This window comes from Homo sapiens, chromosome 21 (assembly GCF_000001405.40).
Source record: "Homo sapiens chromosome 21, GRCh38.p14 Primary Assembly".
In the NCBI taxonomy this organism is placed as follows: Eukaryota; Metazoa; Chordata; class Mammalia; order Primates; family Hominidae; genus Homo; species Homo sapiens.
The window spans coordinates 23,840,960-23,859,243 of NC_000021.9; the positions used below are offsets into that span (position 1 = coordinate 23,840,960).

At 38.0% G+C, this 18,284-nt stretch overlaps 1 long non-coding RNA gene across 2 annotated transcripts in view; it reads left to right on the forward strand.

Moving 5' to 3' along the window:
* LOC105372750 (uncharacterized) overlaps window positions 1–18,284 on the forward strand; it is a 63,784-nt gene that overhangs the window by 28,343 nt on the left and 17,157 nt on the right. The window contains exons 2-3 of one of the 2 annotated variants that reach the window (XR_937612.2): window positions 14,476–14,608; window positions 17,998–18,209. This is a non-coding gene — a long non-coding RNA (uncharacterized LOC105372750). The remainder of the gene's footprint in view (window positions 1–14,475; window positions 14,609–17,997; window positions 18,210–18,284) is intronic. The other variant, XR_937613.2, reaches the window with a different exon arrangement.

Genomic DNA, 18,284 nt, shown 5'->3' on the forward strand with positions numbered 1-18,284 from the left:
TTTTTACTTCTTACCAGCCAATTCCTCATTAATCCAATCTCCTAGTATAGTTAACATCCTTTTTCTTTGCTGTTCAAATTGCTCGGCAGTATCTGTCTTCTCATTGCACCCTTACTGATACACTTCTCTTTTCCTGGAAGTTTTAACTCTTCCCATATTTTCTTCATTATTTTATACTCATCTTCCTGAATCCAGCTCAAATGTCACATTCTCAAGAAAGACTTTGAAATTCACCCTGAGATGAATTTATATTTTTTCTTCATTGACCTTATTGTTCCATATACTTTTTTTCATAGCCTTTACCACAGTTTTAATGTTATATATTTCTGTGACTATTTGATTACTCTGCTATTCATCTCAAATTTCTATGAGGGAGGAAACAGTATTTCTGTCTCTTTTTGTCAATGTATATTTAAATCCCTGTACCAGATCTGGCACACTGCGGTACCCTGTAAATATTACTGCAAGAATAAAACAACATCTTTAATAAAGCTTTAGATTGACTCTCAAAGTTTGGAGAACTTCTAGAGAAACAGGGTAGTTTCTGAACTCCTTTTGGAAAAGCAGAGAAGCCCTGAAGATTTAACGACTAAGAATTTAAAAATATCAGGTTGGTGCAAAACCTAATGAAACTACTTTACTTTCAATGGCAAAAACCACAATTACTTTTGCACCAATCTAATAAATAAATCTAAATATTGGTTATGGTAATTAAAATTAAAATTGTCTCTACAGAGTGACCAGTGAGGTAGTATTCTGTCTCTATGACCTATTCTGGTCTTGCTAAAACTTCCACATCATTTCTGGATTCCAAAATCTCTCTCAATTATTTTCTTATTTACATGATTTGAACTTTTTCTTCATACTATAGCCAACTATTAAAATAATATGCAAGTTCCTCAGTATTCTAAAACATACTTCAGCCTGAAAGTACATTTAATGATTTTTTAATTTGATTAGTGAGAGGATAATGAATAGTCACGTAATCTGTTCCTGATTTTTGTAAGCCCAGCACTGACTGTGTATTATCCCATCCTAGTTTTGTCTGATTTTTATTCTTGCCTTTTATTGCTGGTTCTCCTCCGCTCCGCATCTTTACAAGGTTCCTAGTTTGTTTACCAGCCATTTTTCTTTACTCTCCAGAGATTTATTTATAAAATTTTCCTAAGGCTTTTCTTATCTCAACTATTCTATAACTTTTCAAGAAATATTTACTTAATGCCAACTGATTTTTTTTATATTAATGAATCTCCAAAGATTCTTAATTTGATGATTTGACTTGCATATTTTCTTATTTCCACTATAATTCAAATATGATCTAAACATTTTTAAATCTGTAAAGACACATTTTGTAATAAAGATTCCAATATCCTAATGCAGGGGGTAGTCCTAGAGTTACATTATGTATAACTTCATATATCCTATGGGTGCTTAGGATATATAACACTCATTCTCATCAGATGGAAATGCCAATAGTCATGTGAAAATCATCTGTTGTTTTCTCCTCGCTTCATGGCCAAATATTCATCATTCTCATTTCAAGTTAAGATAAAATGTCAAAGCAAATATTTATTTTCCTAAGTCACAAAGTGAAGAGTCTCCAGGTCATAGTTCTTGGTGAAAACTAAAAAAAATTATGCCCAAACTTCACCATGCTGTTATTGTTCTGCCTTCCTTAGACTTCGCTTATTTTGTAACATACAACATGTTTCCCAGTAACTACCAGGTCTAGCTCCTGAATACCTTCTCTTATTCTGATAACTGCCTTTTGTAAATACTCATCTTTTAAGTGCTTTACCTATCAATCCCTCATTTGTTTTACTGAAGTCAATATTGACTGTTTATCTTATTTGTACCACTTCAATTTAATGAATCAACCTACTGATTTTTCTTTTTTCCAAGTTACAATAATGATTATATTTTATCTCTCAAAATATTCTATTTTTATTCTATCCTTTCTTCTTTTAATTTGAAACTTCATATGAGGATGTTTTAAAGTAATAATATCTATTCCATAGAAGGAAATCTTTTAATGGTCACTCTACACTCTAAGATATATGCTTTCTAGAAATAGTAATCCCGACTTTTAAAAATATAATACGTATAGTCATATTTTGCACTACTATGAAAAGATAGATTGATAGATAGATGGGTGGGTAGATAGATAGATAAATAGAGATAAATAACACTGTAGACAAGGTAGCTTAGAGAGCAAACACTTATTTCTCACAGTTCTGGAGGTTGGTAAGTCCAAGATCAAGGCACTAGCGGATTCAGTATCTGGTGAGGATTCTCTTTCTAGTTTGCAGGAAAGTACTGTCTAGATCTTTTCAGTGTATTCTTACTGAATAAAAGAGAGAAAGATCGCTCTCTTTCTCTTTCTATAAGGACACTAATAAGGGGGCTCCACCCTTACAACCTAATTAACTCCAAAAGGTTCCACTTCCCAGTACCATCACATTGATAAGAGAGCTTCACCATGTGAATTTGGGAGGATGGGAGTATTCAATTCACAGCACACAGGAATCCTGAGTAGTTATTTTATCTACTAATCAGCTACACATTGATACAGGAAAAGGACTAGAAGGCAAGTCTAAGCAAGCAATTCTTGGACAAATGGGATTTACTATTAACATATACGGTTTTCACATAAATTGCATGCAAAAAATATGAATACCTTCTGAATTATTACAGCTGATCTGTAGTGTAGTAGTTGACAGTAAGGCTAAGAAATGAGGCCAATATGTATTATTAATAATTTGGGTGTACTTTTCTTTAATGTATAGAAGCATAAAAGTTATTAAAGCAAAGACTGAAAACTCATCTGATGCTCTTTCATCAGGCTTTGCCTAGGTTTTTCAAAAAATATGGATTTGAACTCCAATAATCTAAAACAATGTGTTTTTTTACTTTTTTCCTCAGAAAATTGAAAAAAATCTCTAAATAGAGTCTGACTCAATTTTTTTAAGAATGCCATAGTCACTCCACCCTCTATATAAGGGTATCTTGTGAAAAAATATATAAAATATATTATTTTATATACTAAATGCATTATATATTTATAAATATTTATATACATATAAATTATTTCATTCTCATACCTCCTTATTAAGAGGAGAGTTATGGGGACTATATGTGGAGGAAAATGAGAATGGGGAACATGGAAAATTATCACAATCAGATAATATAAAATGTTTATGGACACTACAATTGCGGAATTTGGTTTAGATAGGTCTTTGTCTATTCCCATGGGATAATAAAGTAGCTTGTGACCAAAAAACTTGTAAAACTCAAGATTTTAAGCATTTGAGAGAAAACACAAATATTTTAATATCCTATGGGTGGAGACAAATGGTGACACAGTAGGATTTGTGGCCATTTTTTAAACGAAATATTTTTGTGGAGAGGATAATAATAGATAGGACATTATCACACTGGGAAATTGATATTGGTAGAAACTACCACCTTATAAGATTTCACAGATTGTCCATTTTGAAAATTATCAGAATCAAAATGGAATCACTTACCTCAAACCCTGGCAAAATTGAGCCAGGGGTCCATGAAGGGAGGATCTTCATGAATGTATGCCTAAAAACAAAACTGTTACAACTGTATTAGTCTGTTTTCACACTGTTATAAATTGCTACCTGACACTAGGTAATTTATTTTAAAAAAAGAGGTTTAATTGACTAATGGTTCCAGAAGCTTAACAGGAAGCATGTTTGGGAGACCTCAGGACATTTCAATCATGGTGGAAGGTAAATAGAAAACAAGTAAGTCTTATAATGGTGGCACAGGAGGGAAAGAGAGGGAGAGAGAGAGAGAGAGCAAGTGGGGAAGTGCCACACACTTTTAAACCATCAGATCTCATGAGAATTCACTGTCATGAGAACACCATCAAGGAAATCACCCCCATGATCCAATCACCTTGCATCAGGTGTCTCCCTCAACATGTAGGGATTGAAATTTGACATAAGATTGGGGTGAGTACAGAGACCCAAACCATATTATTCTGCACATGGACCCTCCCAAATCTCATGTTGTTCTCACATTTCCAAACCAATCATGTCTCCCCAACTGTTACCCAAAATCTTGACTCATTCCAGCATTAACTCAAAAGCCAATAGTCCAAAGTCTCATCTGAGACAAGGTAAGAACCTTATGTCTATGAGACTGTAAAATCAAAAACAAATTAGTTACTTCCAAGATACAATGGGAGTACAGACTTTGGGTAAATACTCCCATTCTAAATGAAAGAAATTGGCCAAAACAAAGGGGCTATAGGCCTTACGCAAGTTTGAAACCCAGCAGGGCAGTGATTAAATCTTAAAGTTCCAAAATCCTCTTTCACTCCATGTCTCACATCTGGGGCTCACTGATGCAAGGGGTGGGCTCCCTAGGCCTTGGGCAACTCTGGCCCTATGGCTATGCAGGATACATCCCCCTTGGCTGCTTTGACAGCCTGGCATTCAGTGTCTGCAGCTTCTCCAAGTACATGGTATAAGCTGTCAGTGGATCTACCATTCTGGGGTTTGGAGGATGGTGGCCCTCTTTTCACTGTACCACTAGGCAGTGCCCCAGTGGAGACTCTTTGTGGGGTCTCCAACCCCATATTTCCCCTCTGTACTGTCCTTGTAGCATTTCTCCATGGGGGCTCAGCCCCCTGCGGCAGACTTCTGCCTGGACATCCAGGAGTTTTCATACATCTTCTGAAATCTAGGCAGAGGCTTCCAAACTATTGCCTTCTGCACACCTGCAGGCCCAACACCACATGGAAGCCACAAAGGTTTGGGGCTTGCACCCTGTGAAGCAATGGCCCAGGTGTACCTTGATGACTTTTAGCCACAGCTCTAGTTGGAGCTGCTGGGATGTAGCGTGCCATGTCCTGAGGCTGCATAGAAGAATTGGGCCCTTGGCCCAGTCCAGGAAACCATTTTTTCCCCTTGGCCTCCAGGCCTGTGACTGGAGGAGCTTCCATGAAGATCTCTGAAATGCCCTGGAGACATTTTCCCCATTTTCTTGGCTATTAACACCCTTCTAGTTACATAAGCAAATTTCTGCAGCAACCTTGAATTTCTCTTCAGGAAATGGGTTTTTCTTTTCTACCACATAATCAGGCTGCAAACTTCCCAAACATTTATGCTCTGCTTCCTCTTTTACTTTTCTGTTTTGTTTTTTTTGTTTTTTGAGATGGAGTCTTGCTCTGTCACCAGGCTGGAGTACAGTGGCACAATCTCAGCTCACTGCAACCTCTGCCTCCTAGGTTCAAGCAATTCTCCTGCCTCAGCCTCCTGAGTAGCTAGGACTACAGGCACATGCCACAACACCCTGCTAATTTTTGCATTTTCAGTAGTCACAGGGTTTCACTATGTTGGCCAGAATTGTCTTGATCTCTTGACCTCAGGATCTGCCTGCCTCGGCCTCCAAAAGTGCCGGAATTACAGGCATAAGCCACCATGCTCGGCCGCTCTGCTTCCTTTTATCTTATTTATTTATTGCTTCTGTTTCAAATACAAGTTCCAATTTCAGACCATCTTTTTCTTCACACGTATGAGCAGGCATACACTTTTAGAAACAGCTAGGTCACATCTTGAATACTTTGTTGCTCAGAAATTTCTTCCGCCAGATACCGTAAATCATCTTTCTCAAGTTCAGTGTTCCACGGATCTCTAGGGCAGGAGCAAAATGCACCCAGTTTTTCCTAAGCATAGCAAGAATGACTTTCACTCTAGTTCCCAACAAGTTCCTCACCTCCATCTGAGACCACCTCAGCCTGGATTTCATTGTCCTTATCACTATCAGCATTTTCATCAAATGCATTCAACAAGTCTCTAGGAAGTTCCAAATTTTCCCACATCTTCCTGTCTTCTTCTGAGCCTTCCAAACTGTTCTAACCTCTGCCTGTTACTCAGTTCCAAAATTGCTTTCACATTTTCAGGTATCTGTATAGTAATGCCCCCCTCTCCCAGTACCAATTTTCTGTATTAGTCTGTTTTCACACTGCTATAAAGAAATACCCGAGACTGGATAATTTATGAAGAAAAGAGGTTTAACTGACTCACATTGCCACAAACTACACAGAAAACATGGCTAGGAGGCCACAGGAAACTTACAATCATGACAGAAGGCAAAGTAGAAGCAAGCATGTCTTACCATGGCAGAGCAGGGAAAAGAGAGAGCGAGCGGGGAGACGCTAGACAATTTCAAACCATCCTATCTCATGAGAACTCACTCACTATCATGAGAACTGCATGCAGGAAACTACCCCCATGATTCAATCACCTCCCACCAGGTCCCTCGTCCAACATATAAAGATTACAATTTGACATGAGATTTGGGCAGAAACACAGAGACAAACTATATTAATAACTTTTCACAAAGACTACCAAAACTTTACACCAAAAATACTTCTGTGAGGACATCTGCCCAGTAACTGCCTGTTCAACCTTGTACTCACACCACCCTTGTTACTGATCCTTGTTGCCAAACTTTCCTTCCTTTATCTCCCTAAATATGCCCATAGCTTACTATGGCATCATATTCCACATTGCAATGTTCACTCCCAAAGAAACATATTATCTTTGGAGAATCTCTGTACATCTGTTATTTAGGTTGACAAAATATGTGTGTGTTTGTGTCAGAGAGGAGTGGGTGTGGATGTGCGTTTTGGTCTATGAAGTTTTACCACATCTGTAGATTTGGATAATCCAAGAACAGACAAGATACAGAACAGTTCTATTACAAGGATCCCCCATGCTATCCTTTTATAGCCATATCCACACACACTCCTATCCCTAAGCCCTGGAAAACATTAATTTGTTCTGCATCTTTATAAACTTTTTACCTCAGGAATGTTATATATGTTACTTTGCAAGCTTTTTTTCTTAACTCAGTGTAATTTCCTTGCATTGAATTCAAGTTGCTTAATGAATCAATAGTTTTCTCCTTTTTTATTGTTGGATAGGATTCCATGGCATGAGTATATGATATGGTTTGGTTCTGTGTCCCCACCTAAATCTCATCATGTACCTCCCATAATTCCCATGTATTGTGGGGTGGACCCGGAGGAAGATAACTGAATCATGGGGCCAGGTCTTTCCCCTGCTATTCTCCTGATAGCGAATGAGTCTCACAACATCTGACAGTTTTACAAAGGGGCATTTCCCTGTACAGACTCTCTTGTCTCTTGCTGTCACCATCTAAGAGGTGACTTTCGCCTTCTGCCATGATTGTGAGCCCCCCTCAGCCACATGGAACTATGAGTCCAATAACCTCTTTTTTTTTTTTTTAATTGCCCAGTCTCAGCTATGTCTTTACCAGCAGCATGAAGGTAGACTAATATGGTATATGACAATTTGTTTAGCATTCACCTGTTGAAGGACATTTGGGCTGTTTCTAGCTACTGGATATTAATTAATAAAGCTGCTATCAACATTCCTGTACAAGTTTTTGTGTGAAAATACATTTTGATTTCATTAGGACAAAAGTCTAAGGAGGGAAACTGCTAGATCATGTGGCAAGAGTATGCTTAGTTTTATATGAAATTGCCAAGCTATTTTCTGGAATGGCTGTGTAATTAAGCATTCCCATTAGCAATGAATGAGTGATTCAGTTTATTTTCAAACTCAGAAAAAAAGATCGTGGTGATTTCACTATTTTTTAAAAATTATAACTGTTGTGATAAGTGTAGTAATATATCATTATTGGTTTAATTTATATTTCCTAGTGACAAACAATGTTGAACAAATTTTTTTGTTGGTTTGTTTGTTTTGAGACGGAGTCTTGCTCTGTCACCCAGGCTGGAGTGCAGTGGCAAGATCTCAGCTCACTGCAATCTCTGCCTCCCAGGTTCACGCCATTCCTCTGCCTCAGCCTCCTGAGTAGCTGGGACTACAGGCGCCCACCACCACACCCGGCTAATTTTTTTGTACTTTTTTTATTAGAGATGGGGTTTCACCGTGTTAGCCAGGATGGTCTCCATCTCCTGACCTCGTGATCCACCCACCTCGGCCTCCCAAAGTGCAGGGATTAGAAGTGTGAGCCACTGCCCCTGGACAGTGTTAAACAACTTTTCATGCATTTATTGGCTGTCTGTCCTCATCAGTGAAATACATGTTCATGTATCTTTCTAATTGAATTATTTTTACTGTGCATTGTTTCGAGTCCTATATACATTCTAGACTCTGGCCCTTTGTTGAGTATGTTGCCTGCAAATATTTTCTCTCAGTCTCTGCCTGGTCTTTTCTTTCTCTTCATGGGGTAACTCAGAGATAAGTTAAAAAACAAACAAACAAACTGATGAGCTCTAGTTAATCAATGGTCTTCAACCATTATTTCTTCAGACTCACAGACACACTCTGCTTTTTGTATCCATATTGAACTCTTATCATAAGAGCAGTGAAGCAATTCCATCAATATTGATCTGTTCTCAAATTCACTGATTCTGTTTCCTTTCATCTCTAGTCTACATTTATCCTATCTAGCAAGCTATTTTTTCCTCCCTGTGATTGTATTGTTTAGTTCTATAATTTCCATTTGGTTCTCTTTAATAACTGATGGAATTATTTGATATTTTCTATTATGTCATCTGTTTCAAAAGAATTTTTAGTTGCTTTTTGCAATTAAAGCATTTTTGTGCTGATTGCTCCTAAATCCTTGTCAGATAATTGCAACCTCTGATTCTGCCCAGTGTTGTCACTTGATAGTGTTTTCTCATTCAAGTTGATGATTTTCCTGATTCGCGGTATAAAATTCTGTCTTTTGTTAGAAGATTACAAGTCCTCCTGAAGTCTTTATTTTAGCAGGTAACCACCTAGTCTAAGTTTAGCAAGCAGAGCCTGGCCTACTTTTATGGACTGTGGTTCCAATGACAACTTCATCTTTAGAGTCTTTATGGTGTTATTTTGATTGCTTGTTGGGTGCCTTATGATACCACTGGGCTCTCACTGGTCTTTACTGGTACTGCCTGGTGGCCAGAAGATGCTTTCCCAGGCCTGGACTCATAGTGCCTCGATCTAGAAAAGGGAGTCTCCAGCCTTTAGAAAGAGTCTTTCCCTGGCAGTGCCACTCATTGTGACAGATTTTTCTCTCGTGGGCGCAGCCCAGTGTCTGGTGTTTTGGGTTGGGGAGGGGAGTCTCAGGCACACAAGAACAAGCATTAGTTGTGGCAGAATTTTCCTTGCTGCTTCTGCTCAGTTGACCAATGTCTCTCGGTAAAGAAGTGAGTCTCTGACCCACAAGGATGGATGGCTTCCTGGGCCAGCCTGGTTATGATGGCAAGATCCCCCTGCCAGTGCTTCGAGACCCCCTAGGTTTCCCTTAATGTGTGTGCCTGTGTGTGGCAGGGGTGAGGGAGGAGTGGGAAGCAACCATAGTCCTTGTTCACTAGCCTTGTCTGCTTTGGTCATCAGCTGGTGTCACTATCAGTCTCCATTCCTGATACTGCTGGGCTGACCTGGTGTTATTGAAAGGACTCTTATTCAATCTGGCAGAGGAATGAGCCTACCTGATCTGCCTTTTGATGCAAAATTGGGGATGGGGAAGCGGTGGGCCTGGCTTGCTTTGTTCTGTTGAGTGGGCATCAAAAGACCTGTTTCTTTAATCCTGAGACCTCTAACATCTGCCTGTCTTTCAGAGTTCTCTCTCTCTTTTTATTTTTTCTCTTACAACTTCCAGTGTTTGTGGTTGTACGTAGTTGAGAGGATCAAGAATAAACAGGCCTATCCTAACTTATCTGAACCAGAAATAATTTTATCTTCTTTTAAATTACACTAGGACCCCCAAAAAGCACACCTGCTGGTAGTATCCTTAAAAGTGAGAATAATCTTTACATAAAATGTTGGTTTTATGATCACATAAAATAATACTTAAAGTGGTAGCTTTAATTATCATTATCTTTATTATGTTATTATTGTTGTCATTTTATCATTATTATTAATATATTATCAAAAGTTGTTGAAAATAGTCATAGAATTCTAGATCTTTTGACAAAGTGTAATTATAAAACATTAGTATTGGCCAGGCGCGGTGGCTCATGCCTATAATCCCAGCATCTTGAGAGGTCGAGGTGGGCGAATTGCTTGAGGTCAGGAATTCAAGACCAGCCTGGCCAACATGATGAAACCCCGTCTCTACTGAAAATACCAAAATTAGCTGGGTGGGGTGGTGGGCACTTGTATTCTTAGCTACTTGGGACACTGAGGCAGAAGAGTCACTTGAACCCGGGAGGTGGAGGTTGCAGCGAGCCAAAATCGTTCCACTGCACTCCTGCCTCAGCAAGAGAGTAAGACTCCATCTCAATAAAATAAAATAAAATAAAATAAAACAGTAGTATTATATTAAAGTACATACCAAAAGAGTCTAATTTAATGATAACACAACAGGAACAGAGAAGAGCATATAAATCTCACCTATTATCTATTTAACCAATACTAAAAACAACAGTGAAAATTAAAATATTGGAAGTTCCTAAAATTTTGAAATACTCTGAACAACTTAGAGGAAATTTTAGTTTTCATAAAATAATTAAGAAGTAATACTTATATTAATTTTAATATTTATATTCTTCACCTAATTAAAGCTGAATTATGAAATACAACTGTCACTCAAACATTTTAGGTTTATATTTACTGTATTCATATACGTTTTTGTTTCAGAAATGTTTATTGGAAGTAGTATAAATTTCTATGAGGAAAGACTTGAAAAGTTTTATCTGTGACCCCAAGAAGATCACAGTCAATGTGAAGTAGGCTAAAAATGGTCCAAGAGCCCATTTTAGAAAAATAACAGTCTTTGTTCAAAAAATACCTTGAAATCATTAGATATATTACAAGAAGCCTTAAGTATAGAGTCTGGAAAAGACATTGAAACAAAGACACAGCTAGACTCTTCTGCACAAGTCTTCTGCGTATCAGTCAAATATAAAATGAAGAAAAATAAAGATTGAAAAGCTAAAAAAAAATTGTATGCAATTATATTCCAGATATATTAGGTCTTAATTAATGTATTGATGATTTCAATAATAAAATGCCCATTGTTGTCTAAGCAAAAAACAAAACAAAAAAAACAGCTGTGAAAGAGGCAACAGGAAATTTGTAAAAAGAGTAGATCCCAGGGAATGGAGCAGGAAACTGAAGCTTTTAAATAAGGGAGCCAGTAAGATATTTCTGATAATTGGTTAGGCAAAGTGCTTTTAAGAACTGTGTTAACTAACATTCAACTTGAAGTTTTTTATGATGACATGATGTAAACCTTATTCATTATCCTATTCCATCAATGGACTTAACACATAATTTTGGAGGAATGTGAAAGAATTTTCATAGTGTCTAGAATGTAGTGATTAGCAAACAGTGTATATGGAACATTGTGATAACCCACACACTTAAAACAGTTCTTTGAAAATAGTCTTAGCTGAGATAACTGGGAGAAGCATAATATCTCATTTTTTTCCAAGAATTATTTGCAATAATGAAACAGATACTGGGTCCCTTAGAATACAACATTTGGCATTTTGGTCAATTGCATTTGAAATACACTGTGAAAATTGTTCGGTATTACATGGTAATTCCTGCTACATTGGAATCAGGACCAAGATTATTGGACCATGATAAATGACCTTATGTCTGCTTGGAGAAGTCAAGTTTTTATAGGTAATGCTTCAGCTGAAATTGAAAAGTATGTATGACTCTGTCAGGTAGACAAGGAAAAGGCAAAACGTTTCAGAAAGATAAAATGACCTGACAAAGTGTAGAGGCATGAAAGGAATAGGTATATGGAAGCAGGTAGTTTTTGGCATGGCTTGAGTATAAGAGACAGATGGAGAAGAATGAGAAGTTGGAGCTTGGGATGATAGGAACTCTCAATGTCAAGTTAAGCATGATACAAATAAAACTTTATTTTATAGGCAATAGAGAACTGGAGATCCTTAAACACTTTTAAAGAAAGAAGGCATGTGCCCTATCTTAACTGTTGGAAAAGTAAGTCATGCATGTATATAGTATAGTTGGGAGGAAGGTAATGCCAGCAAAAAATAAGAGTAGACTATGAGAGAATTCCATTTAATTGATGATAGGTGTCTAAAGTAGAACAGAATAGAGCCACAGAAGTAGAAGGAATTGGTGGATGTTGAAACATTGCTAATGAGACTAGAAAAAGACTGTCCACAGAGATCTGAGACAATCTGGAAGATGTTGATGGCTTTCACCAATTTCCAAAATAAATACGTAAGACAGTATAAGCTTTGATGAGGTAGGATGAAAAGACTGAATTCAGCTTGAGGACTCTGTGGAATATGTACATTGTCAGTAATCAGGTGATCCAGAACTGTCTAGGAAGGCTGATGTTTTCTATCCAGGAAAAAAGATAAGTGACTAGTTGTCAGCAGGTAGTTGAAGGTTACAGTCTAAATGAGATGACTCAAGTAGATTTGTAAAGTGAAAAGAAAACTGGGAAGAAGATCAAGCTCTGCTGCACACCAAATGCACCAAAATAAGTATTCTTTCCTGGGCTGGAGATTTGGGAAGGTCTAAAACATAAGGGAAGAAGCAGGAGTAGAGAAAAAACAAAAAAAGCGTGTCAATAATCAAAAACTTGATCAATATATCAGAAGTTGCAGAGAAGTCAGGTAAGATAAGGCCTGAAGTGCACCCTTTGGATTAGTGCATGTAAAGACACTGGTGACTTTATAAAAAAATAATTTCAGCGAAATAGTAAGAGCTGGTTCTGGGATGAAGTATGTTGAGCCATCAAGGTACAGGGAGAAGGTAATGGCAGTGGCTGGTTAATTTCCTAAAGAGCATGTCTATGAGTAGAAAAGATAATTTCACTTCAAATAATATCATAAATGAAGAAATTTTTTTTCTGATATTGCTATCTGAGAGCAATTTGAAGTCAGCAGGCAGAGAGAGAGAAAATGAGAGAGGGAGAGAGAGAGAGAGAGAGGAGAGAAGAGAAGCTGAAGGTATCGGAAAGAAAGGAGATACTTAATGCAGTGTGGTGTGGAGAAGATAACAGTAGATGAGGCCATCCTGAAGGTGGCAGTAAAGATCACAAAGTACCCACATTAAGTTTTAAGACAAACTTGTAAAACCAGAAGGAAGAAAGTCAGAACATTTAGATGTATGTATAATTTGATGTTTAAGAGTTTAGGGTCTTTCCACATTCAAGTCTTGATTTTTACTGTGAAATAGAATAAAAGCAATCTCTTGAAGATGAGGAGGCCAAAAATTATCTACTTGAGAAGAGTGATAAAATTTTGAAATAGCCAGGCAGATGGGAAATACATCTGACAAGGGTGGTATTATAGGATTTGTAGAACAAAACTAAAATTAAATATCATAAAATTGAAGTGGCAGAAACCCACAAAATTATACATTTTTTTCCAACAGCTTTCAGAAGATGGGCATAGGACTGATAAATGCAGCTGGCAAAAGTCTACCACATTTGGGCTTTGTATAGCAAGGACATCAGAAGAACAGCATCGTCAGAAGGGAGGGTACAGTGATTATGGTGGAACTGCATTATAAACTCCAGGCTTTTTGGAAAAACCAAGTTCTTAGACAAAAGAAAAGCTAATAGACATTAAAAGAGATAGAAGTCAAGAGAGTATTGATTAGAGTAAGGGCTGACGTGTAAGCATGGTTGGCAGACCCACCCCTAATATTTAAGGTGCCCGGGGCCAGAATGTTATTAGAGCTCCTTCTATTACTTACCTAAATATTTGAAAGTAGTAAATCAAGACAAATTATTAATGCAATGTGATTGATGCTACTTTGACAATTTATCCTTATAAAAGCATGAAAGAGGGAAGTTCCACTTCAATATGTGGTGGTTCAGGAAGAGCCATTCCTTAGACCCTGATGTCCATTCCTCTCATCCCAGCCTCAGCTCCATCCCATGCTGAGGGAGATCTGACCACACGTGTGTCACGCAGGTTCTTGTGCCCAACATCCTTTACAACCTTCTCAAATGGCTTGTGTCTAAGGACGTGGATACCACAAATGGGTCCTCTGAGGAGAAAAGAGCTTCATAAAAAATCTGTGCAGGCTACAGAGGCAGGAACAAGGCCAGTTAAGCCAGGAATTCCAGCATCCTGTTATTCAGCGTATAATCTGAGAAGGAGGTGCAAGGTCTCCAAGTGAGCACTTATACTTGGCCCCACAAACTCTTCACCCCTCAGAAGGGGTGTAGTATAAAAAGGGAAGACTAAGGCCTTGCAAAGAAGACCCTCTTTTGGGGTCCAAGGGGTAACATTGGTAGGATAAGGATTAAGATTATTAATGATTCCAATGTGGAATACCAGGGTTGAACATTCAATAGGTAGGACATTCATGATAACAGAAAGAGATGTAAGACATGTGTGCTTAAGAGATTGAATCATTAAACTCTATATATTTTATTGAATCATTGAAATATACATATATTTGAATCATTGGAAAAAGGTATATATATATGTATATATATGTATATTTATATCAGGTTACGGCACTAAAGAACCTTCATGAAGCTAGGTCTCCAGATTAATCTACTGTCAGATACTCGAGTCTTCAAGGTGAGAACAAGAGTTTGAGTGGAGAGGACCTGGTGAAATGGGAGCAAAAGACTTTGACAGGTGAGGAGAAATGTCGAGGTTCAGTAAAGGGTGATAATGGGCAGGAAGGGATGACACAACCAAAGTACAGAAGAAGTTTGGGTTAAAGCTGACATAGAATCTTTGCAAGAGACTAGGAAAAGGAAGCTGTCACTGCTTTAGAGTCCTGTCATCATCAGGGCATGGGCAAATAAGCATTCATTATTCTAGGGAGAAGAGATGGGTTTCAGTGAGGGAAAAAACCCAGAAGCAAAGAGGATGAGCTCGAGGAGCAGAGAATTGCTAACACACTTTGGTAGAAGCCATGACTACTTCCACATGTATACATATGTAACTAACCTGCACATTGTGCACATATACCCTAAAACTTAAAGTATAATAATAATAAAATAAAAAAAAGACTTGGAAATGAAAAGAATAAGATAAAAAAAAGGAAGCCATGACTACTCTGTCACTTTCATTACCAGTCCCTGCACAGCACTGGAGCAATATGTATACATAACAAACATTGGTTAAGTTTATGAATTATTTGATATTATTTCTATCAGCCAGATCTTCTCAAGGTTGAACAAAATAGCCTTAAAAAATCATAGTTTTTCCAGTCATAGCCGGCTCTAGAAAATTAGTTCATAGGAAGATTGCAGAGCTCTGGAAAAGAGAAGGTGAGTAGTAGAGGTCTTTTTAGTTCTCTTTCAGAATTTTATGTCTATCATAATAATTTGGGTAATGTAAATTTCAATCACCCAGTATTTAAGAAAACGGAAGAAGATAAAATGTGCTATATCCTTTATATATTTTGCAAATAATTATTGTGGAGCTGGTTTTAACTATTGATTTTGTGATTAATAATAATAATAACTGCATTTAGGTTATGAAATAACACAGAGCCCTACTAGGATTTTCATAGTTGAATTTTTTTAATCCAGAAGAATATGACAACAAAATAATTACTGAAGTAACTAAAAAAAATTATTATTGACTTATATTCTCCCTAGCCAAATATCTATAACAATGTTTTTCTAAATGTAAATACTAATATAATAATGAAGTCATAAAATAAATCTTGTGGGTCATAAGCTGATTTTTAAACTTATAACAATGTATCACAGACTTTAAAATGATGTTTAAAGAGAAATTCTAGCATTCATCTACTTATTTATCCACCTGCATGTATTGAGTGCCTGCTCTAAATGCCAAGTGCTCTGCTGTAATTGGAAGTAGAATGCTGAACCTGGTAAGTAAGGATACTCCTTTTACAGAGCTGAAACCTGCAGCATGCAATACTGAGAGGTGAAGGCAGCTGGACTTCCTGGGTGAGTGGGGACTTGGAGAACTTTTCTGTCTAGCTAAAGGTTTGTAAACGCACCAATCAGCAATCTGTAAAAATGCATCCATCTGCGCTCTGTGTCTAGCTAAAGGTTTGTAAACGCTCCAATCAGCACTCTGTAAAAACTGACCAATCAGCGATCTGTAAAACGGACCAGTCAGTGCTCTGTAAAATGGACCAATCAGCAGGACGTGGGCAGGGCCAAATAAGGGAATAAACGCTGGCCACCCGAGCCCACGGAGGCAACCCACTTGGGTGCTACTCCACGCTGTGGAAGTTTTGTTCTTTCCCTCTTCGCAATAAGTCTTGCTGCTGCTCAGTATTTGGGTCTGCGCTACCTTTATGAGCTGTAGCACTCCCCACGAAGGTCTGCAGCTTCACTCCTGAAGCCAGCAACACCACGAACCTACCGGGAGGAACAAACAACTCCAGAGGCACCACCATTAAGAGCTGTTAACACTCACTGCGAAGGTCTCCGGCTTCACTCCTGAAGTCAGTGAGACCTCGAACCCACCCGAAGGAAGAAACTCCAGACAGATCTGAACATCTGAAGGAATAAACTCCGGACACACCATCTTTAAGAACTGTAACACTCACCGCGAGGGGCCGCAGCTGCGTTCTTGAAGTCAGCGAGACCAAGAGCCCACTGGAAGGAACCAATTCCGGACACAGTATGATAACCCCTAGCCACGTGTGGCTACTGAGCTCTTGAAATATGGCTACTCCAAATTGAGACTTGCTGAAAGCATAAGATAGTCAATTTTTCAATGATAGTATGAAAAAAGACAAAGTATTGAATTGATAATTTTATATTGATTACATGTTGGAATAATTATATTTTGGATATATTGGGCTAAATGACACATTAACTCATTTCATCTGTTTCAATTTAAAAAATACTGCTGCTAGAAAATTTTTAAGGAAATGTGTGGCTTCATTTGTGGCTTGCATTATGTTTCTATTGAACGGATAGCACAGGCTTTGGGTCTAAGGGTAAAACAGATAGTTAAGCAAACAATTGCGATATGGTGTACTAAGTACTATGGAAGGGAAATATAAGCTGTCAATGGGAGAAAAACATTACCTAATTTAAAATAGTAAAGAAAAGCTTTTCAAGAGGTGGAATGTTTAAATATATACTTAAATAATGGGTAAGAATGGGCCAGAAAAAAAAGCTAGGGTAGTATATACTCAAAAGTAGAAAAACAAGAATCAAGAAGCAAAACATCTGCATTTGATAAACTAAAAGAAATATAATGGCTCACACCTGTAATCTCAACATTTTGGGAGGCCAGGGCGGGTGGATCACGAGGTCAGGAATTCGAGGCCAGCCTGGCCAACATGGTGAATCCCCGTCTCTACTAAAAAAAATACAAAAACTAGCCAGGCATGGTGGCGGGCACCTGCAATCCCAGCTACTTGGGAGGCTGAGGCAGGAGAATCGCTTGAAACAGAAAGGCAGAGGTTGCAGTGAGTCAAGATCACGCCACTGCACTGCAGCCTGGGCAACAAGAGCGAAACTCCATCTCAGAAAAGAAAAAAAAAAAAATTATACACACACACACACACACACACACACACACATATATATATATATATATATATATATATATATATATATATATATATATAATGTAGAGAATAATGAATGAGAGTGGTAGGGACCAGTGAGGCAAGAAAGGGTTGGAGCATCAACGATTTTTAGAAGCACTGTAAGAAGACTGGTTTTTATAGTAAGATCAATGAAAAGTCACTGAAGGATTCTAATCAGGTTAAGATATTACCAGATTTCCTTCTTTGAAAGATCATTCTGGCAGTAAAACAGAAAATGGATTAGAGGAAAACAACACTGATCTTTTCGAAGGTACTGAGCATGAGGATGAAAAACATGCCTTTTGTCTTTGTTATTGGTTGAAGGTGGAGGGCAAGGGAGGCAGAGGGAGCAGGAGCAAACCTTTAGAGAAAGCGTTTTTTGTGGTTTCTTCAAGAAGTGGGAGAGAGAGTAAACGGGTTTAGGCTTGGCTAGTTGAATGATTTCAGTGGGCTCTGAATTTCATGGCTGTCTCTATTTGTCTGTTATTAGGCCCTGGAGTGATAGGGCAGCAGAATATCTACTCTGAACTAAGAGCATAACAAAGGAGGTGGAAGAGGCGCCAGGATAGCTCCCATATTTGGAGTGTTATCATTCAAGTACACACTGGCACCAGGGTCCCTGAGGCTTGCTCATTGAGGTTGTCAACACTGCAAGAAGGAGTTTTTGTGGCAGAACAGACATTGATTGGAGATGCTGGCAAGGTAGATAAGTAATGAGTCTGGGGCTCTGTAGAGATATTCAGGCAGGGGACAAAATTATACATGAGCTTTTAATGA